Raw genomic sequence first — 23794 nt, 5'->3', positions numbered from 1 at the left:
GTGCACTCAGAGGAAGTTTGAATATTTGTTGCCTTCAGCCACATTGGAATCTAGGATCTCAAATAATATCAGCAGGAATCTATCTCCCTCTCTCCTTACCTAGGTTCTGCTTGCATGCAGTGCAACTTGAGATCTTTGTGTTCTGTAACTAGGAGATACAAGAACATGCTTGACAAGCACAGATGACAGCTTCTACCCTCCTCTACAGAAACTGATATCTTCTCATGCATTGTTTGTAGATGCATGAGTTTTCATCATTGAAAGTTAGAGCTGGGAGTAACCTTAGAAATCTGCTATTGCCAGGCCGGGCGCGGTGGCTCATGCCTGAAATTCCAATACTTTGGGAGGCTGATGCAGGCAGATCACTTGAGGTCAGGAGTTCGAGACCAGCCTGGCCAACATGGTGAAACCCCATCTCTACTAAAAATATAAAAATTAGCCGGGTATGATAGCGCACACCTGTAATCTCAGCTACTTGGGAGGCTGAGGCAGAAGAATCGCTTGAACCCGAGAGGCAGAGGTTGCAGTGAGCTGATATTATGTCACTGCACTGAGGCTGGGCAACAGAGTGAGACTCTGTCTCAAAAAAAAAGGAATCTGGTATTGCCAGATAATTTCCACCTCAGCCACCTAAGATGCTACATGGTGCCACCCAGGCCAGGAGCCCAACTCTGGTGATTCCCAGCCAGTAACACACATCTGTGGAGTCATCCTGGGATCTCACTGTGGAGTTTGATCAGTTCATCCAGGAGACTTTCATATACTCCCCATCCATGTTGTCAAGCAGCCCAAGCCTTTCCTTTGGATTCAGATGTTGAGTTGCTTTTTCATAGTTACTTAGTAGCTAGGTCTAGAAGTCCTGGCTCTTGAATCAAAATCTGGACTTCTGTGGAAGAGACTGTTGACTAGACACCAACAGTCATATTTTCTTCTTCGTTTCAGTTCTGTGAGACCCTGGGATAGTCAATGCACTGTCCATGGAAGCCATGAACTCCACTTCAGCACTGGCCCATGAGCCTTCCCCACTTCTTCTGGGCTGTTTTTTCTTCCTGCTGGTTCAAACGGGGACAACTCCCAAGCGACCATGGAATTTACATCTTGAAGATGGTAGCTGCTCTGCCAGCTTGGCTCCTCCAAATGACTGCATGGGAAGTACCCCTGGCACCCTATAATCCAAACTGTTATACAAGCAAGAAATAAACCTCGAATGTTTGGCGTGTATTGGTTATGCCAGTTAGCCCACCCTAACAATCAGAAGTTGTTTGCCTGTTAGTTTGTTTCACTATACGAAGCTTATTCTGTTAGATGGGCTTATGTAGGATTGCAAATAATATTTCATTTTCTTAATGCAAAATAGGTGAATTCAGACACCATGGTGATCGTATTTTGAAACGGATATCTCACTGTTTATCTCCCTGTTGAATTCCCTCTGTGAGTTTGCTTTGCTCTGAATACAAAGACGGGAGAAATGACGTAATTTCTTCAAGATCTTCAGCAACACTACAGTGAAATTGAAACTAGAAGCAGAAAGCCATGCATCATTTTTTGCAAGAAGCTTTCAACTTCATCACAATAGCTTTTTTCTTGAGTTTTCCATGGCCCTTGGTCCGGTTCCCAACGCCTTTTCCCTTAAGGTTAGTGTGCCATCTGTGTTCTCAGAGGACTCTGTATTTCCCTTCTCCCTCAGTGGTTCAAAGAAAGACTCCAAATGAGTTTTTTGTGATGAAAGGGGAGGAAGGCTTGCTTGTACAATCTTTAGCTGAGAGAGCCTGGCACCCAGGAAAGAGTTGCAGGAGGCCATGACAATGGGAATGAGGGAGGCATTTATAGAACAACAATAACAATACAGTCACAGCTGCTATTACTGCTCCTGCTTGTTAAACTCTTCCCTTATGCCAGTATGTATATTACAGACATTGTATTACTAAATCATCACAGCATTATTAGGGCAAGCATTACTACTGCACTTTACAGGTGAGGAAACTGATGTTTGCAGAGGCCAGATAGCTTATTCCTAGTTAGTAGTGACATGGAAGCCTGGAGTTGAAGCAACTTGCCTGGCTTCTAAACCTAGAGCTCAGAACCAGTCTGATAGATTTCCCTCCCCACTGGTGTGTTGGGGAAGGCAAATAGTTAACTGAGTTCCCTGAAGGTGGGAATTTCTATTTGAAGAATACATAGAAGGAGGAAGACTTTTAGGAGAAGCAAAACAGACAGAATATTTTATGGATGGTGGAGTTGTGGGTATAGTTGTTGATAAAGAGAGTTGTGTGTTGTGTTGTGTTGTGCTGTGTTGCAGGGTTGTCCACAGGAGGAGTAAGTATGTTGACTTTGCCATTGACTGAATATCTGACCGACAGACATGTGAAGATAGCTGAGCTTGAGTTGATCTAGTCTGAGTAGCCACCAATGACCCGCATGTAGCTTCTGATTCACCCCTTTGTGACGCATGGACTGCATCTATATACTCTCCCAAAGTCTTTTATTTTATACTATTTCATGTTATTTTATTCCTCCATTTTTTCTCTCTTAAAAACATTTATTCATTTTGTGGGTGTCTTAGGTTGTACTTCCCCAGAAACAGGCTGTGAGGCAAGGAATTGCGTGCAAGTAGTATATGTGGAAGGTGATCCTAGGAAGCACTGGGAAGGGGATGAAGAATTGAGACAGAGAAAAGAAGGAAGCCATTACAACGAATGTTAGGGAGCAGGCTACCTCTGGGGGAAACCGGCTTAGTCCCTAGGGAAGAATCCCAGGGAGGCAGCACAGAACATATCTCTGAGATGTCCCGCCAGTAGTAGAAGCCACCAGCTGAGAGGTGAAAGCTGAGTGATAATGGTTCAGGAACACTAGAAGCATCTGTCACATTGGACAAGGTAAAGAAAATAGAGTCTGGGAATGAAGAGGGCTGAATTCTATCAGGGAGTCAGTGCAGTCTTGGTAAAAGAGTCCCAGGCCAGGAAATCAGGACTGCTTTCTAATCCCAGTTTACCTCTCTTCAGCTGGGTAAGCTTGGGTAAGCGACTTCCCTTCTCCAGCGAAGGGAAGTTTTCTCAACTGTAAAGGAAAGAGCCTGGGGTAAATGATTCTGAAGACCCCTTCTGGCTCAGAGGGTCCATGTTTCTTTGAATCAAAGTCTTGTGATGGACTCAAACAGATCAATCTTCTACCTCTGCATTTTAACCTAAAGGATAGATTGTGATAGCTATCTTCTATTGAACAAGTCCTTGCAACAAACTTAAAAGTATAATGGAGTATTTTATTTCATCTTCACAGCAGCACTATGAAAACAGGCACTGTTTTTATCTCAATTTTGTAAAAGAGCAAACAAAGCAAGGTTGATTAATTTGTCCACACTGCATAGACAATATGTGATATAGCTGGGGTTTGAGCTCATGCCATTCTGAGTCATAAGCACTATATTCTGCTACCTCCTACTTTTGTGGTGACAGCCCAGAACATCTGTGATATAGAATCTTCGCACATGTGAATATTTATGTGAAAATACAGTGGAACCGGTTGCTCTATAATGTGCCGTGGGACATATGGATTATAAACACACTCCAGGTCTGTTCAGTAGACATCTATATTATGAGCTGTGTCCCAGAATGGGAATCGATAACTGAGGTACAGTTTTCCCAAGATCATCCTCATCATCATCACTATCATTGTAGTGTCAGTCACTTTTTGATGGCTTACTACATGCCTGGCACTGTTCTCAGTGCTTGACATTACAATGCTGAACATATCAACTTGTTCAGTCTGTACTCTAACCCCATAAGGTAGTTACAATTATTACCCCCATTTTGCATATGAGAAAACCCAAGCACAGAGGAGTCGAGTAGTTTGGCTGGGTCACATGGCTAGTACGTGGCAGAGCCAGGAGTCTGGCACCAGAAACCATAGTTCTTCCCCTACCACAAGTCTACCTTTCCAAAGGCTCAGAAGCATGGCCACTGTGACGTTTGTATTTGCATGGTGGCCTGCTAAGTTAGAGCTTGGACTTCATTTCGCTGTGTGACCTAGAAAGCGATGGGAAGGAGTGACTGAGAGCCATTTTAGTCAAGGTTATCAATTGTCGATATGTGACTTAAAAGGGAGCATTCCCAGGTCATCTTTGTTTCCTGGTATGTTCTACTTATTGCAAATGCTCATTGTCTGAAAGTTGGGTAAAGTCCAAAGAGACTTTTTGTTTTTTAACCAATTCAGGGACATGGCATCTGCCTTGGTCCTTAGGATTGTTTGAATGCTGTGTTGCATTCCAGTGTTCTCATAGTACCCATCCTTCATCTGCCGCCAGTTACTCCCGAACCAGGGCAAGCAGGGTTTTTCTGCACGATAATGAAGCTCCATTGGTAAATGTGCTGCTGGCTGTAGGATCTGAGTGAGGACACCCATGCTGAGACTGGCCATCCGTAGGCACTTGTGATGATTTCTTCACCTAGTTAATCTGACATCCATTCATCGACTCATTTCTTTGTTCATTAATTCAACAAATACACCCCAATTCATTGTCAGATTCTGTATGAAGTACCATAGGGAACACAGAAAGATGAACAAGATTTATTCAGAATCCTTAAAAATTCACTGGCAAGCCTATTAAAATAGAAAATTGAGGCATAGATAAGGAAAGAACCAACTAATCATGGAACGAAATTAGGAAACAATCATGTTATTCATGAAACAAACATTAAATAGTGAAAAGTCACCATGTTAAGACTATGTAAGACTATGACCTTCAGAAAACAATAGGAACATTTGACTGCGACATGAGAAAAGAATGTCTTGAACTGGAAAAAAAGAGGAGGGTAAAACACGGCATGTTTTTTAAATAAATAACAATTTAGTTTCAAATTAAAGGTCATCTTGAGATTTTATTTTTTTGAGAAGTGTACTTAACTTTTTCCTTTGGTTGTTTAACAGGTTTAAAATCAGATCAGATTGTATCGGTAGCTCATTTGAACTCAACCTCTGATGTTAGCCTTGCACAATCTCAAGGCTTGTTGTCAATCAGGACGTATTTACAGTTCCTTCATGGATCTGAAAGCAGTTTGTAATTAAACAAGAAGAGGGAGAAAGACTTTGTTTGTTCCTGAAGATGACAGTTACAAGTGTTGCAGTGTGGACTTCTCTCAGCAGTGATAGATTCATTTGTCCTCTGGAGAGCAGAGAGTGGAACACAGGCTAGGGAAAATATCTCCTTGTGTTAGTCCATTCTCACGCTGCTAATAAAGACATACTTGAGACTGGATAATTTACAAAGGAAGGAGGTTTAGTGGACTAACAGTTCCACATGGCTGGGGAGGTCTCACAATCATGGCAGCAGATGAAGGAAGAGCAAAGGGACTTCTTACGTGGTGTCGGGCAAGAGAGAATTTGTGCAGGGAAACTCCCCCTTTTAAAACCATCAGATCTTATGAGACTTATTCATTATCACAAGAAGAGCACAGGAAAGACTCATCCCTGTGATTCAATTACCTCCCACTGGGTCTCTCCCACGACAAGTGGGAATTGTCGGAGCTACAGTTCTAGATGAGATTTGGGTGGGGACACAGCCAAACCATATCACTCCTTTTCAGGGAGCATTGCCCATCCTGACCTCTGCAAATGACTTGGCTGTATTATTTAAAGAGGATTAGAGATAACATGTATGGGAGATGTCTGTGATGAACCAGGACGTGGGCCCCATGATCTATTGAAATGAAAACTGATGATGATCATTCAAATTCATATGCCTTTTCTTCCTGAGTCTTCCAGAATCCTTGAGCTGTAAATAGTAAGTGTACCCTACGTTCCTCTTACTTGTTTCTCTCACAATGTGAATGTCAACCACTGGAGTTATAATGTTCTGTCTGCCTATCTTCATAATCGGTCCACTTCCTATTTTCCTATCCACTTACCCCTTTTCTGATCCCCAGCCACAAAGAGGATCTTATTCCAGTCCCGTCTTTACTTCTGACAGTTGTGCCACATGTCCTTTATCTCCAAAGACTGACAAAACAGATTTCTGAGTAAAGGAGGCATTTTTTACATGGAAGATGTGATACTGTAGCAGCTTGCTATTTGCAGGCCATCTACCTAACACCTCATCAGGAACATCAGTGAAAAATCAAAGCCAAGAAATAAAAGATCCTGAAGGATAAAGCATAGGTCAGAAAGCCCAGGCACAGAATCTCCTAGGAAAATTCATCAGGCCTTGACTGATATTTAGCTTGCTCTTACTATGAATGGTTTTAACAAGCTTGTTTGGTTGGTCCCTCAAATTAGAAAATTAATTACTTTGAGGGTAGCCGGAGTGGATGTTTCAGACCAGTACTGGCCAATAGAACTTTCTGCAGTGATGGAAATGTCCAATATAGTAGTGGCCAGCCACATGGGTCTATTGAGCACTTGAAATGTGGCTAGCACAACTGAGGGGCTGAATTTTTATTTTACTTAATTTTAATTGATTAAATTTAAATCCAAATAGCCATATGTGGCTAGTGGCTCTCATGTTGGACAGTGCAGCTCTAGACAGATTCATTGACTGTAGTGAAATGACCACAGCACCATGGTATGAGGTTATTTAGTATAGAGACAAACAGGCTTCTAAAACTCCAAGAACTCCTAAATCTCATTGAGTTATAGCTCTGATAATTCACTTATTTATCCATTCTTTTATTTGGTAAATATTTATTAAGCAATTACCATGAGCCTGCACTGTTCTAGGTGGTGGAGATGTAACAGTGAACAGAATGGATAGAAATCCTTGCTTTCATGCAGCTTCCTGAAGGGATGTCTCCACTAAACAAATACATAATCAAAATATATAGGATGTCAGTTGGTCCCAAGTAATATGTACAAGTCAGCAAGAAGGGATAGGGAGAAGGGGAGGATGTGGGAGTTGCAACTGTAAATAGGAAGGCCAGGGAAGTCCTCAGTGAGGAAATACAAAAGGGAAGGATCAACCTTGAGGTTACCTGGTAAAGAAAGAGCATGCAAGTTATAGGGAACAGTGAGTTAAAATGTCCTGAGTAGGGAGGGCTCCTGGCAGGTTCAAGGAATAGCAGTTGGAGGAGTATGGCAGTAAAAAGAATAGGAGGAGATGACCCATGATGTTAACTCATGCCAGGGTGGCAGCAGTGGGGGTGAGTCTTTGTTGATGGTAGAGCCATTAGCACTTGTTGACAATTTGGTTGTGATGTATAAGAACAAAAGATGAGTTCAGGATGATTCCAATGATTTGAATCCATGCAAGTAGAATGATGAAGTCATTTCCTGATATGATGGACCATAATTATAATATAATCTTGACTTATCAAGAAGAGGTTAAATCAGGTATGATGGATACTTGGAAGTGAAGTCATTTCTTCATGCTGCATCCATGGCAGACATTAAGAATGGGCTTGAATGTGGCCTCAGAATCCTTAACATAGTTCTCCTGGAAACCACTATGTGTCTAAGTTGGCACTCAAGATAAAACCATCACTAGATTTAATTATGCATGTAATCGAGTGAGAAAGGTGAGGAAAGATGTGATTCATTTCATGAAGCATTCAAAGAGAATGACTTCATTTGTATATAATATAATTGCTTATATTAATGGGATTGGATTCTCCAAAGTACATTTTTCCAGAGAACCAATGCAAGTAAAAGATTCTCAGAAACTTGGAACCCTCTGTTACCTGACTATAACATCTTTCATTGTCGAGTGGAGTCTCCTGTGATGCGGGGCTGACTTGTACCACTGTATCACGATTCTCTAAAGCACAAGAGCCATTTTCATTCATATCCTTCTCCCCAGTGCTTGGATCATTGTAAATGATCAGTAAATGCTGGTTAACTTGAACATTTCTGAATTTAAAAAGGACCTGATTTTAAGGTGACCTCACCATATTTAATAACACTATTAAAATTTTATTAAATACCTACTATGTGCTGGATATGGGACATCTAATAGTGCCAAGTGTGAGAAGACCCATACACGTGATATTTAATCATAATTAAACCAATATTTATTGAGAACCTACTGTATGTCACAAACTAGACGAGACAATACACAGAGCTGTGTAAGATTCAATTTGTGCCTTCATGTTGCTCAAACCTGGAGGCTCTCAATGTAGTGTAATTGTTTCACTGAGTATCACAGATTCACATAAGCATGGATCTTGGACAGAGATCTCAGACTTCCTGTTCTTAGGCATGTCTATTCTCTGTTTTCTAGGCAAACAACTGAGGGCCAAACAGGATTAGTAACTTGCCCAAGAACATGCACCTGAGCCTTTATGGAAATTGTTCTCAACTGGGTCAATTTTGAGCTGCAAGGGACATTCAGCAATGTCTGGAGACATTTTTGGCTGTCACAGCTGGAAAGATGCTACGGGCATCTAGTGATTAGAGGTCAGGATTGCTGCTAAACTTCCTACAGTGCATGGCACAGCCCCTATAACAGAGAATTATCCAGCCCCTAGTGTCAATTGTTCCAAGGTTGAGAAATCCAGCTTCATGTCTACCCTATAGTGCATCAGAGTTGTGGATTTACTTTTTTTTGAATCTGAAGGAGGGGACGAGGCAAGAAGTATAGTTTCAGAAACTTATATATTGACATTTTGCATCTTTAAAATACGAGGACACCCTGTATGTCCACTCTGGAGAATGTGGAAGTATTTGCTGACCCAGGTGCTCCGGATGGCTCAACTTTGTTTTCGTCTTACCAGGGTTTGGACTTTGTTTTGGCTGTGTTTCTGTGTTCTGCGTCAAACTAGATGGTGTTTGTTCAGAGAAAAATCAGGAGGTTTGCTTAGAAAAAGAAAAAGGAGGCCGGGCATGGTGGCCCATGCCTGTAATCCTAGCACTTTGGGAGGCCGAGGTGGGCAGATCACTTGAGGACAGGAGTTTGAGACCAGCCTGGCCAACGTGGTGAAACCTTGTCTTTACTAAAAATACAAAAATTAGCTGGGTGTGGTGGCACGTGTCTGGAATTTCCGCTACTCAGTAGGCTGAGGCAGGAGAATTGCCTGAACCCAGGAGGCAGAGGTTGCAATTAGCCAAGATCGTGCCACTGCACTCCAACCTGGGTGGCAGAGCAAGACCCTCTCTCAAAAAAAGAAAAACAAACAAACAAACAAACAAAACAAGGTTTTTGCTGTTTTGTTGGAAACTTGCCATTGACCTCACAAATGAATCCAAGAGGAGAAAAGGGACAAAGGCTTTGGTGCAAGGAGACAAGTAGACTAGGTTCATGATGGTGAGCCTTGCCCTGTGGGAACGCCACAGGCTGACGATTTTGTAAATCCTCCATCCTCTGAAACAGATGGAAGAGAAACTGTCAGTACAAAGTCAGGACAACAGTAAGAGTCAGAAAGAGCTCATGAAATATAATACTTTGGTCTCTCACTACATGAGTGGATCTTGAAAAGAAATTCCTTACTCTCTGGCAACTTCCTGACACACTTAAAACACCAAAATCCTTCCTATGAGCTTCAAGGCCTTGCCAATCTCTCTGACCTTCTCTTTTGCTTGTTGACTTCCCTTGCACCTCACTGGCCTCCTTGCAGTTCCCGGAGCACACCAGGCATGGTCGTACTGCAGGGCCTTTGCCTTTGCTGTTCCCTCTGCTTGACTCTCTTTCCCTACATTTCCTCCTGGCTTGCTCCCTCATTTCCTTCATGTCTCTACTCAGAGAGGCCTTCTTTGACCATTATCCCCCCCAACATCTTTTAAAATTCTTACTCTGTTTACCAACTGATGTAATTTAATTTTTTGGTTTGTTTGTTTGTTGTCTGTCTCCTTCACCTAGTATGTAAGCTCATGATGATGGGACTTCTTTTGCTTCATTATTACTGTCCCTCAGCACCCAGAACAGTACCTGGCACATTATAGGCATCCAAGACTTATTTGTTTAAAGAATGCATATGGCTAGTCGGGACCGGTGGCTCACACCTGTAATGTGAGCCACGTTTGGGAGCCCTAGGGAGGCTTTGGGAGGCTGAGGCAGGTGGATAACTTAGGCCAGAAATTTGAGAACTGTCTGGGCAATATGGTGAAGCTCCATCTCTTCTAAAAATACAAAAGTTAGCTAGGCATGGTGGTGCTCACATGTAATCCCAGCTACTTGGGAGGTTGAGGCACAAGAATCAGTTGAACCCAGGAGACGGAGTTTGCAGCCAAGTGACAGTCAAGTGACAGCCAAGATCGAGTCACTGCACTCCAGCCTGAATGACAGAGCCAGATTCTGTCTCAAAATACAAAACAAAAAAACCTGATGCATATGGCAAATAGAGAATTTTAGGTCATGCTCACAGGCAGATGTTGTGTAGCAGTATAGAAATACTGGAAGTGTTATGCATATTTGTCCTGCCCCTCAGCAGCTGTGGAGTCTTGTGGAGTCGGCAGCTTCTAAAACAAATCCCAATGACCCCTGCCTCCTGATGTCCATGCCCTTGTGTACTCCCCTCCCCTTGACAGAGGGTTGGACCTAATGATTTTCTGTAATGAATACAATGTGGCTAAAGTGATGGAATAGCACTTTCAAGAGTAGGTTATTTTGGGATGCTGAGGCCGGAGGATCTCTTGAGCCCAGGAGTTGTTGCAGTGAGCTGAGATTGTGCCACTGCACTCTAGCCTGGATGACAGAGCAAGATCTTGTCTCTAAAACAAACAAACAAACAGAACAGGTTTTAAAAAAACTGTGGCTTCTGGATTGCTTGTACTTTTTCTCTCTGACTCTTCTTGCTTTCTGCTTCTGATGAATCCAGCTGCCATGTGATGGGCTGCTCTATGGAGGAGTCCACATGGCAAGGAAATGAGGGTGGCTTCCAGCCAACAGAAGAACTGAGGACTTTAGGCCAACAGCCTACAAGGAATCTAGTCCTGCTAAGAACTATATGGGTGAGCTTGGAAGTGGATTCTTCCCCAGTCAAGCTTTCAGATGAGACTGCAGCCCCAGTGACCCTGTCTTGTAGCTTTGTGAGACAATGTAAAGCAGAGATTCATTTGCACCCAGATTTCTGACCCATAGAAACATAAACAGTAAATATCATTAAGCTGCTAACTTTGGAAGTAATTTGTTAGGCAGCAATAGTTAACAAATACATCTCATGTAGGGGTTTGGTGAGGATTAAATGAGAAAAAGATGAATAAGAAATGACTCCTCCCATCAAGGACAGTATAGCCTAGTGGGAGGTTTTATATCAGCTGTGGAGCATTAAGTATGAGAGTGAGATGAAAAAGACATTCCAAGAACAGAAAATGGCATGACCAAAGGAATGGTAATGTGACAATGCATGGCAGGTCATCTGAGGCATAGATGTTTATGGAAGGCGTTGAGCCTGGGATCAGGCCAAGGACAAACCCTTGAGAGGCTTTGTGTGTCCTGAGAAGGGGCCTGAGAGATTTTCCTGTAGGTAATGTGTACACTGAAGTATTTTGAGCACTGGAATATGTTGGGAGGAGATGTGCCATAAAGGATTTTAAGGTCAAAGCCAGTAGGATACACCTTTAAATATTTACTTCTTTTAGTATTTTTAAAATGTGTGAGTAATGTGTATATTTTCATTGTAAACAAATAATACAAAGTAAAAAAAATCACATTTTAAACTCTTTAATTTCCCATTTTCCCCTTCTGAGGACACCATAATTTTGATTTGTTGTGTCACACACGATGACACAATGTACAGTGATGTGCTGGAGCTGGCTTATAGCAACCCTTGTGTTTAGTGACAGCATGTTAATAGCTTGAAATTGAGCATATTTGCATCATAGACATTGGCAAAGACTACAGGCCACTTCCCCTCCAAAAAAATAAGCTTGCTTACAGGGATGCCACTGGTTGTGTGTATCCTTTAAGATCCTTTTCTACTAAGGTACATGTAAAAATTAATTTCAGACGGATAGTAGAAATATGCAGTTAGTGGCTGAGAGCACAAATCCTGGAGTCAGACTGCCTGAGTTCAAGTCTTGTCTCTGTCATATGCTAAGTGACCTTGACTGAGTTATTGAAACTCTCAGATCCTCAGTTTCCTTCTCTGTAGAATGCAGATAATAATAGTGACTGCCTCATAGACTTATAAGGAGGATTAAATGAATGAATGTGTGTACAGGGCTTGGAATAGTGCCTGCCACACTGTAAGTACCTATAAAGGTTAGTTAATATTGACATAAAAGGGGCCATACTGTAAATAATGTTCTACAACTTAATTTTCTTTAAACAGTACATCTTGGAGAGCTTAGAGATAGTATTCCTTTTTTTTTTAAAAAAAAAACTAAACTTTTAATTTTGAATAACTGTAGATTCACCGGCAGTTCCCACAAAAAAAAAAAAAAAACACAGAGATCCCTTGTACCCTTTCACAAGTGTTACACAATGGTAACATCTTGCAAAACTAAATTAATATCACAACCAAAATACTGACATCATACAGTAAAGATATAGAACATTTCCATCACCAAAAGGATGTCTCCTGTTTTCTTTTCATTGGCACACCTACTTCCCTCCCACCCCCCAATTCCTCCTCAAACCCTGGCAACTACTAAATGTCCTCTATGTCCTCTATTTGTATAACTTAGTGATTTCAAAGATTTTATATAAATGGCATATTACAGTAGTTAACCTTTTGGTATTGACCCTTTTCAATCAGTGTAATTTTCTGGGGATTCATTTAGGTAGTCGCATGTATCATTACTTCCTTTTTATTGCTGAGTAGTATTCCATAGCACAGATGTACTATGGTTTGTTTAACCTTTTTACCCATTGAAGAATATCTTGGTTGTTTCCAGGTTTTGACCATTAGGACTGTTACAAACATTAATGTGGAGATTGGGTTGTCAGCATCTTCAGCTCCAAATCTTGGGTTATTAAATAAGGCCAAAAAGAAAACCCAGGGCATTTCTCACCGTGTCATTCCTTTGATCACAGATCCCTAGCTGGTTTGCCTTCTTCGTTCCTCCCTTCAGAATTTACTTACATTTGTGTTATATACAATGTCCGGAGCTTTTAGTTATACTAAACAGGAAAAATAGGAAAAAGTGTGTCTAATCTCTCTTCTCGCAAGCAAAAGTCCTAGCATTCTTTTGAACTGCTGAGTATCACCCTATACAAACGCCTATATTTTGATAGGTACTCCAAATTGCCCTCCAAAAAGGCTTTCCCAGTTTAAATTCTTACCCATCCTAATACATACCAGGTACTATTTTGTGGGCATTGCACTCATCTGATGTGTACAGGTTCATGTGGAGTGAAGTGAGGTAGGCCTGTCATGATCTGCATATGGACTCAGACCTGAGCTTATTTTTTGTGCCTCTGAGCATGAAATATTTTAAGTGGCAGCCAGGTAGCTGGTGAGAGACCAGTCTCACAGCTGTTTGCTCCAGTGAGCCAACAGCGAGGGCCTTGTTGAGGTGACTGGAGAGGCTGACTAACAGGAAGATTCCTAATTAAACCCTCATGCCTCCATTTAAGCATGTGAGAGAGGGTTTGGTTGGCTGGGGAAAATTAGCATGGATTCAAAGCCAAGAAGAAACTGGGTCACAAGTCTAAATCTGGGGGTGTCACTGAAATTTGGAATGTTGCTAGAGATTGCTTTTGTTGTAGAGAGAGGAGAAGGGTTGAGTGGTGGAAAAGGAGGTGTGATAGGCCCAGGGAAGCACCATCAAAAGATCATGAGGAAACGATCAGGCAGAGAGAGTGGAGTACTGAGCATATATGTGAATTCATGATGATCCCTGTGGAATATGTAGTACCATGTGAGACATTAAGGCCCAGAGTCATCCATGTGGGAAAACGGTGTTGAAAAGAGGCTGAAAATCAAACTGCTTGGGAGGTCCTTGGATAAATTGTCAGGTTTTAGGTGAGAAAAAGGTGAAAGAGAGATTTCAGATCTGATTCTTGAAAAAGGGGCAGGATTTCCAAAGAAGAAGAGCATTCTAGAAGGACAGCACAGCACTAGCTTAATTTGTTTCCTTGTCTGTGTAATAAACTTGGCAGCTTCAAGCAATATACATTAATTATCTCACAATTTCTATAGGGCAGGAACCTGGGTTCTCTACTCAGCCTCTTACAAGTTTGCAGTCAGGGTGTTGGCCATGGCTGGGTTCTCACCAGAGATGTGACTGGAAAAGGATCCACTTCCAAGTTCCCTTAAATTATTGGCAGAATTCATTCCCATGTGGCTGCAGGGTTTGTGGCAGCTTGTTAAAGCAGACGGAAAAGTGAATGAGAAAGAGAGAGAGAGACTCCAAAATGGATCTGCTAACCATACAGAGTTTATAGCATAACATAATCACGGGAGTAACATCTCATGACCTTTACCACATTCTATTTGTTAGGAGCACACATGCAAAGGGACAGGACGAGAGAAAGGTGAGCACCAGGTGTTGGGGGTTATGGTGGCCACCTTGAAGTTTGTCTGCCACATGGCACAGGCATGAAGGGTTATTAGAATATTGGGTTCAAGGAGGAAGAGAAGGGATAAATTGGCTGTTGAGGAACATTAGATATAAGGATGGATCTAAAGATTGGGGCTCCATCCTGCAGAAGAACCTTGAAGGCCAGTTTGAGAGCTTTACCCTTTGGCATTGTGGAACCTATGAATGTACTCTTCCAACCTTGGCCTCCTGTTGCTTCCTGAAGCCCACATGCTTGCTAAGAAATACAGTTTTCATTTCCATTCTCTGCTCACTCATTTCCTAAGCAATCATTTCTTTTAAAAAGCGTTTTAGAAACGAAATGATAATTGTATTTAAAGTGCAGTATCTGCATCGAATTAACCTTGACCATTTTCTATAGTTTCATTATTTGGGGAGTTGTTGAAGCAGTACACACAAATGAAAGCATTGAGAAGCAAGATAATAGGTAACCTTCCCAACTTTTATCTAACTCAACTCCTCAGTGGGACTAATTGTAGAGAATAGAATGAGCTACTTGCTAAATGCATCATGACTTTATCCTCTCTTCTCAGTGTCTATTTAAACAGCTATGTTAGAAAATTAAAGATTCTAATGGAAATATTCAGGAAGGTAAAAATGCATGGAGATGGGGTGCATTTGAATTATGTCAGAAATTGTTCTCAAATATAAAAAAGATTAAAAAACAACTGCAGTGCCAAATAAACAGTTCCCTGTAGGTGGAATTTATAAGCCTTTAATACTGTGATTAGCCCTGTTTTAATTGTCAAATACTTTTTGAACTTCCATATGATGATGGTGGTGTGTGACTATTAGCATCCCTTGGTCGATAAGGTATATATTGACCAAAAGTAAAATCTTTACAATGAATTTATAATTTTTTGAAGATGACAATCACATGGCTGATTATTATTAGTATTTTGGTGAATCTTATTATTAGTACTTTGTGAATCTTGGTGGGAGCTGTGGACTTTTCTCTTGAAAAATGCTCATATACAGAAAACTACATACAGTTTTAAGAGGTTCATGAGCCCCCTGAAATCACCCATTGTGGACCTCCACAAATCTGACACTGAGAAACCTTGAATAACATATCTTTGAAAATTATAGTAAATCCACATATAAGGTGTATAACTGACTCAGTTAGTACCCAGTGATAGATGTCCTACGGATTTGAGAATCTTTCCAGGGCTATTTTGGACCAATGGTCTATGTGACAGATTTTATTATATGTTTGAAGTTCTCATGTCAAATTCTGGATGTAGAGGACTATAAAGAACTTCTTTGTGCTGGTATTGGAATTTTGTTTTCTAATAATGTTCAAAATTTCTCTACATAGAAACTTGTTTTTCAGACAGAAGTTTTATTGTAATAGTGTGGGAGACATGTAACAGTCTATTTGGGGTTGATGATAAAGATAAGACAACAATGCCCTTATGTGTTTGTGTGCACATGCATGTGTGTGTGTGTGTTTGTGTGCGTGGCTGTGTGTGTGTGTGAGAGAGAGAGAGTCAGTGAGAGAGAGAGGTGAGAAGAGAAAGGGAGATGAAGGGAAACAGAGAAGAGCAGAGAGAAATACATACAGACAGGACCACAGAGACAGAGATATGCAAACATAGAGGCAGAGGGAAACTCACATAGTGACAGAGAAGTGGAGTTAAAGGGAAAGGAAGAAACAGTCATAGAAATAGACAGAGACAGAGATTCAATCAATCAGTGCTATGATCTAAATGTTTGTGTTCCCCCAAAGTTCATAAGTTAATACCTTAATCCCCAATGCAGTAGTATTGAGAGATGGTGTCTTTGGGAGGTGATTAGGTCATGAGGGTGGAGCCCTCATGAATGAAATTAGTGCCCTTATAAAAGAGGCCGGATGGAGCTTGTTTGCCCCCTCCGCCATATAAAGATACAGCTAGAAGGCACCATCTGTGAGGAATGGGGCCCTCACCAGACACAGAATCTGCTGTTATCTTGATCTTGGAATTTCCAGCCTCCAGAACTGTGAGCAGTACATTTCTATTGTTTATAAATGATCCGGTCTAAGGCATTTTGTTATGGCTGTCTGAATGAACTAAGACAGTCAGATTGTTGGGAATATGGACAGACAAACATAAGAGACAGGCAGTATGAAAGGCACAGAGTTTTCAAACCAGTGAGCACCCAGGGGTGCTCCTATCTGTTGGCTGATAGTAGGATGCCAGCAATGCATTTTATCATCATGATAGGGCCAGGTAGGGGCTGGTGGGTGATTAAAGAGGCAAGAGCTTGCTAGATGAATTACTTCCTGGGTAAAAATTAAATGATTCAGAAAGGACATTACTACTGGCCTTGTGCCACCTGTGTTAAACATTGTCTGGGACAGTGCTGCTGGGCTGAAAGGAACTGACACTTCTTAGCTTTCCAGGAATTTTTTGTTGAACTTCTGAAAAATTTTGCTGAACTTTTGAAAACGTGTTTATTTTATCCCTCTATGAAGGATTAGATGAACATTTAAAACAGAACATGCTTTCATCTCTTCCCAAAAACTTGCTAAGGTTTTTTTTTTTTTCCTGAATACCTAGTTTGTGAATGTTACATAAGTCAAAAAAAAAAGTCATTTAAAAAGACATTATACTAGTCTTTCATGAGGGATCAGCCAAGGCCAGCATTAACACCGAGAGGGAGGGTGGTACGTTTAGAGACAACATCTTTTGATGTGCAAAGAATTACCCACTGGTTCCCCATACAGTACACGGCTGTAATTCATATGGTGAATGATCAGTGCCTTTAATGTCTTGTAACATAAAAATACTTGGATTTTAAAATCTTGTTTGAAAAAATAACTCACGTGTTAGTGCATATGTCCCTGATAAACATATGCTTTGAGCAGATATTCAATCTCTCCTGTATGCTGAGCTGACGGAAACTCTAAGGAATTTACTGGAAAGCCTTCTTTTAATGTGTCCATCACATTACATTAGGAATGTAATTTGTGTCAGAGGATGACTTATTTTTAAATCAAACCTTGACACGAACTGTTTTTCAACCACCAAAATTAAACGTCAATTGTGGTTTATGTTGTAGAGGGTTTGTTAGGGGACCCACTAACTTGAGAAACCATGAATTAGAGAACAGAAGTGAAATAAAATAATCTTAATGAATCATATTCCATAAATAAAGACAGAAATTTTATAGGTAAAGATGATATGAACCATCTTTAAGGGATGAAATGTTATAAGAATTGACCAGAAAGTACATGATATGAAAGGATCTAGAAAGACATTTTGGACTGTTGGTGGAACATAGGCTTGACTAAGATACTTGGGATCAGGAACCTGTCTACCTTGTTGGTATTATTTAACAATGCTAAACTCAGAACCGTGCTTGGTTCTTAGTAGGTGCTGAAAAATACTTTTAATGAATGAATGAACAAATAAATAGTGTGTTAAACAGAAATATGAGTACATTAAAAGAAGGATCTAGAAAATACATTTCAGCAATAAAGAATTGTTCATTTAAAGAGAAATGAGATGACAGGAATTTTAGCAGACCACAGTAGATAACATGAAACAGATGTGGCTAAATCCACAATGGCAAAAGCATTCAAGTAATCACTTAATTTGGTTTCTTTTTATACCTCCAGTCCCCCTACTTATTTACTTAAACAAAACACTTTGTCTTAATGAGAACTGAGTCATTAGGGACAGTTTTGGGACCCTGACTTTTTGGTAGGAAAAGGATAAACCTGATCAATTAAAAATACCAGTCAACCGTGGTGGAAAGCAGTATGGTGATTCCTCAAAGAGCTAAAAGCAGAACAACCATTTGACCCAGCAATGCCATTACCATTTATACCCAGAGGAATAAATCATTCTACCATAAAGACACATACACGTGAATGTTCATTGCAGCACTACTCACATTAGCAAAGACATGGAATCAACCTAAGTGCACATCAGTGACAGATCAGATAAAGAAAATATGGTACATAAACACCATGGAATGCTATGCAGCCCTAAAAATGAATGAGATCATCTCTTTTGCAGGAACATGGATGGAGCTGGAGGCCATAATCCTCAGCAAAGAAATGCAGGAACAGAAAACCAAGTACAGCATGTTCTCACTTATAAGTGGGAGCTAAATGATAAGAACTTATGGACACAAAGAAGGAAACAACAGACACTGGAGCCTACTTGATGGTGGAGGGTGGGAGGAGGGAGAGGAGCAGAAAAGATAACTGTTGGGTACTGGGCTTAATTCCTGGGTGATGAAATAATTGGTACAATAAACCCTTATGACATGAGTTTACCTATGTAACAAACCTTCACATGTACCCCCGAATCTAAAATAAAAGTTAAAAAAAAATACCTGTAATGTGCAAACCCTTTATTAGTGGAATCAATGTTTGAGCAATCATCATCACTGTAGAAGTAGCTGTAAATAGCATTTTCCACTTGCTCTGTGCTGGGCACTGTACTATATGCTTTACTAGCTTTTTAATTATCAAAGACTCCTTCATTGTTGGATATTATTACCCTCGTTTTCTTCATGAGGAGAATGGGGCTCACAGACGCTTTGTAACTTACTCAAGGCTGCTCAGCTAGACTGGAAATGGAAGTATGCATACGCATACATTTCATTCCATTTCCAATTACTCTTATTTGTAAACATTAACTTCCATGTGAACTAATTTGTATGTGACATAGGTACTTCATGGTTCAAGAATGTCCAGGATTCATTCTTTTATTCTGTGCCAGGATGTATTTGCATGTGTATCAGTGTCAATATTAGATTACTAACTCTTAGAGGATAGAGTTGGCTCTTTAAACCTCTTTACAAAGTGCCTGGCTTTGTGTCCCCAGAGCCTGACACTTAGGAAGCATTCAGTAATTTATCCAACAAGTAAATGAATGAGTGAGCAAGCATCACATGTAAATTAGGACCTTTCCTTTGGGCTCATAAAACCACTTTTAGTGTATTAATAAGGGTGTGCTTTACGTGCTCATTATACACAAATTCAAAAGTATCAGAGAAAATGATCAAAAATAATGTTGAATTTTACATTGTAAAAGCTTTTGTAATGCTGATGAGACACTTCGTTTTGTTTCTCTTGGGGCCAGCAGGGGAACCTGTGGCTCATGTCTCACTCTCTGGGTTCAACACTGGAGATTTCAAAGTTCCTTTGGGAACAATTATAAAGGGACTCATTGGGGAAGGGGATGGCAGTGCTCTCTCTACCTATTCTCAAGATTTTTGCAATAGCTGTTCTTTGGGGGTTAGACACATTTTAAGCTACCATAGCCTGATTTCCTTCATGATTCTTAACTTCCTTTATGATTATGTTCACGTTCCACTTCCTGTGGGCTTTCTAAACATAAAATGGGAAGAGGAGAGAACACATAACTAAAAAGTGAGTTCTTAAAAGAACCCTTGGATTTTCTTTTGCAGGTGCCCATGAGGTGGTCTGGACTGGTACATCACAGCATTGTTTCTGGCTGCAGGTATGATGGTTAATTTTATGTATCAACTTGACTAAGCCATGGAGTGCTAGGTATTTGGTTGAATATTGTTCCCAGTGAGTCTGTGAGGGTGTGCTTTTGGATGAGATTGACATTTGAATTGGTAGACTGAGTAAAGCAGATTGCCTCCCTAATGTAAGTGGACCTCATCCAGTCAGTTGAAGGACTAAATACACCGCAATGGCTGACCCACCCAGGAGTCAGGGGAGACTCCTCTGCCCCACTGTTGGAGCTTGGAACACTGGTCTTTTCCTGCCTTTGGACTCCAGCTAAGACCTCAACTCTTCTTGGGTCTGAGCCTACTGGCTTCCAGACTGGAACTTATAACATTGGCTGTTTTGGTTCTCAGACCTTTGGACTTGGACTTAACTTATACCATTGGTTCTCTTGGATCTCCACTTTACTGAATGCAGATGTTGGAACATCTCAACTTCTGTAATCATGTAAGTACATTCCTTATAACAAATCTCTTTGTATATATCTGTATCTGTATTTATCCCCATCTCTATCTCTATCTCTTTTGGTTCTGCTTTTCTGGAGAATCCCAACTTGTAACAAAACCCTAACTTGTAACAAAAAAAATCAAGTAAACTTAAATGAATAAGATGGCTATTTGTCACATGAGAAGTAATCCAGGACTAGGCAGTACAGGGCTGGACATGGCAGTACAGTGATAGCATCAAGGACTCTGACTCCCTCTACCTTCCTTCCATACCTTTTTGTGTGGCTTTGTTCTCATGCTCTCAGGATGGTTGTTGTACATCCAGGAGTTGTGTTCACATTCCAGGCAGGAAGGAGATGGAAGGTCAAAAGGCCAAAGGAGCTTGCAGGAAGTCTCATGTGAGGGTGCCACTTATGTATGTCATTGGCCAGGTTCATGCCACATGGACACCTCTAGCTTCTGAGGGTCTGGGAGCTAAAGCATTAGCTCAGCACATTACTACCACAAATAAATTTGGGGTTCTTTTGGAAGAGTGGGGTATGGATTTTGGTAGGGCAATGCTCTCCATGGATTGTTAGATAACCATGTCAAAAAAAAATGTTAGTACTTCACTGGTTTGGGAGGTTATATAGATTCAAAATAAGTGTGAATTAAATATTATTTATAAGTTTCTCTAGCAGAGTGCATCAAACATTATTTCATGGAATGAGGCAAGAATATTTACATTTACAGAGCTTCTATGATATGCCACACACATAGCCATTGCTTTACGGGCATTATCTCTTTTGATTCTCACAGCCCTATGAGGTCATTTCTATTGTCCTCATTTCACAAATAGGGAAAATGAGTCTGAGAGAGTTTACTTAAGTTATCTAAATTTGCACAGCAAGGAAGTAGAAGAATAAAATTAGAACTCAGGCCCATCTTGACCTTACAAAGTCCTTATAAAACTTTATTCTTACAGGAAATCTTATATATATCTTTCATATATGATAACATATTTTAAAAAAACTCTGATGCTTAGCACAGTAAGCTCCCAGGAAATGTCTGCTGATCACATCTGCTTTTCTCATCGTAGCTACTGAATTCGATGCTCCTTTTACAGGTGTCTCTTTAAGTCCCAATCCAGAACAGGCGGCTCACACCTGAAGTCAGACAGTAATGTCAGTAATATGAGAATGTCTTCAGTTTTAAGGATATTCAACAAATATTTGTTGCACACTTATGTTGAGTCAGGCACAGTGCTAGGACCTAAAGGTACAATGCCACACAACTCAGGAAAGGTCCTTTGTTCATGAAGCTGAACTTATTTTCTGTGGGAAAGAGACAGGCAAGACTCTAGTAAACAAGTGAAGATGACAATTGGAGAGAATGATGAGTGTGCCAAGGAAATGAGCAGCACAGTAGTATAATGACCTGAGAGGGAGGCTGCTTTAGAGAGGATAGTCAGGAAAGGCTTTCTGAGGAGACACCATTAAAATGAGGACTGAAAGATGAGGAAAAGCCAACCATAGAAAGAACCAGAAGAGCATTCCTGGCTGTGAAAACAAAACAAAAACTGTGCAAAGGTCCTCAAGCAATTACAGGCTTGGGATACTTGAGCAACAGGCCGTAGATCTGGACAGTGAGGAAGAGGGAGGGTTGTTGGGAGACAGTGTACCCAAAGGCAGGAACCAGATATATCCTTCTAGGACATGGTAAGGGCTATGCATTTAATTTGGGGCAATGTTAAGCTAGAACTTGATTTATGTATATAAAAGTTCAGACTTGGAATCTAAACAATTAATCTTCAAGGGAACATGACGTATTGCAGAAAACAGTCTGTGCATCTTTCTTCATTTATAACTTTTCTCTTGAAATCATTATTAAAACAATGAATGCAACATATTCCAATGGAAGGCTAATGTTATCAGTAAAAGGAAAATACACCCATTAAGAAAATTTAAGAAAACACAAATGTCAACGAGACAGCTAAGTCTCAAAAATGATGATTTTAATCCTGCCTTTCTTCCCCTGCAAACCTTTAAAAACACATTTTAAAAATTATTTCACCCATGTTTGGAAGCCCCATATTGACTACTGAAGTCTTTCTGCTTGAAGTTAAAGTTTTGCTGTTGCTTTTAGTTTATTTCAAGACTTTTAAATGTGTTTACAAACTTTCCAAGAAAAGATGCTTCAGTCTTTGTTTGTTACATGTTCTTTGCTCTCCATTGCTTCTTGCTAATACTTCTTCCATCTGAAGTCACTTTTCTTTTGCCTAAAGTTTATCTTTTAGAATTAGATTTTTGTAGGCAGTCTTAGTTTTTGTCTAAAAATGTCTTCACTTTTGTTCTTGAATGATTTGGTGGAGGTGGGTAGAGGATTCTTAGTTGGCTGTTATTTGTCTTCAGTAAATTGACAATACAACTCCACCCATCTATTGTCTTCTGTTAAGAAGTCAGCTATCAGTCAACTGCTGTGTTTTTTTCTCCAAAAAAATCTTTTTGCTTTTAAACTTTTCTAAACTTTAGTTTCCTGCGATTTTACTCTGGTATATTTAGGTTAAGATTTTTTTTTTAAATGCCCTGTTTGGAAGTCATTTAGCTTCTTGAATCTGTGGACTGACATCTTTCACCAGTTCTAGAAAATTCTCTCTTCATTAATGCTTCAAATATTGTCTCCTTCCTTCTCTCTCTCTCTCTCTCTCAATCTCTGTCTCTCTTCTTTCTTTTCCTTTCCTTTCTCTTTCTTTCTTTCTTTCTTTCTTTCTTTCTTTCTTTCTTTCTTTCTTTCTTCCTTCCTTCCTTCCTTCCTTCCTTCCTCTCTTTCTTTCTTTCTTTCTTTCTTTCTTTCTTTCTTTCTTTCTTTCTTTCTTTCTTTCTCTCTCTCTCTCTCTCTCTCTCTCTCTCTCTCTCTTTCTTTCTTTCTTTCTTTCTTTCTTTCTTTCTTTCTTTCTTTCTTTCTTTTCTTTCTTTCTTTCTTTCCTTCCTGTCTCTCTCTGTCACACAGGCTGGAGTTCAGTGGCATGATCACAACTCACTACAGCCTCAACCTCTCCTGGGCTCAGATGATTCTCCTACCTTAGCCTCCTGAGTAGCTGGGACTACAGGCATGCACCACCATGCCTGGCTAATTTTTGTATTTCTTCATAGAGACAGGGTTTCATCATGTTGTCCAGGCTAGTCTCAAACTCCTGAGCTCAGGCAATCTGCCTGCTTCAGCCTCCCAAAGTGCTAGGATTATAGGTGTGAGCCACCACCTCATTTTCTTTTATATCACTTAAAAAAGGTTTTAAAAAATGTATATTAGGTTTTCTCTTCCCCTCTCTTCTTACTTCCCCTCCTTATATTCTTGTTCCTGAGCCTTTTTTCTTTTCAATTATGTGCTCTGTGTGCTGCATTCTGGATAAATGTCTTCTATTCTCTCTTTCAGTTTACTTAGTTCTTTTTCATCTGATCTGTGGACCAATACTATACCTTAAGTTTTAAATTTT

At 40.3% G+C, this 23794-nt stretch overlaps 1 long non-coding RNA gene across 2 annotated transcripts in view; it reads left to right on the top strand.

Moving 5' to 3' along the window:
- The first annotated feature begins 592 nt into the window (after positions 1-592).
- The window catches only part of LOC107986094 (uncharacterized), a 71566-nt gene continuing 48364 nt past the window's right edge, over positions 593-23794 (top strand). The window contains exons 1-3 of one of the 2 annotated variants that reach the window (XR_001740740.1): positions 593-1634; positions 19810-19862; positions 20230-20323. This is a non-coding gene — a long non-coding RNA (uncharacterized LOC107986094). Of the gene's footprint in view, positions 1635-19809; positions 19863-20229; positions 22386-23794 lie in introns of those variants that run through there. The other variant, XR_001740739.1, reaches the window with a different exon arrangement.

Source organism: Homo sapiens, chromosome 3 (genome assembly GCF_000001405.40).
Source record: "Homo sapiens chromosome 3, GRCh38.p14 Primary Assembly".
Taxonomy (NCBI): Eukaryota; Metazoa; Chordata; class Mammalia; order Primates; family Hominidae; genus Homo; species Homo sapiens.
This window is presented reverse-complemented; position numbering and strand designations above follow the sequence as displayed.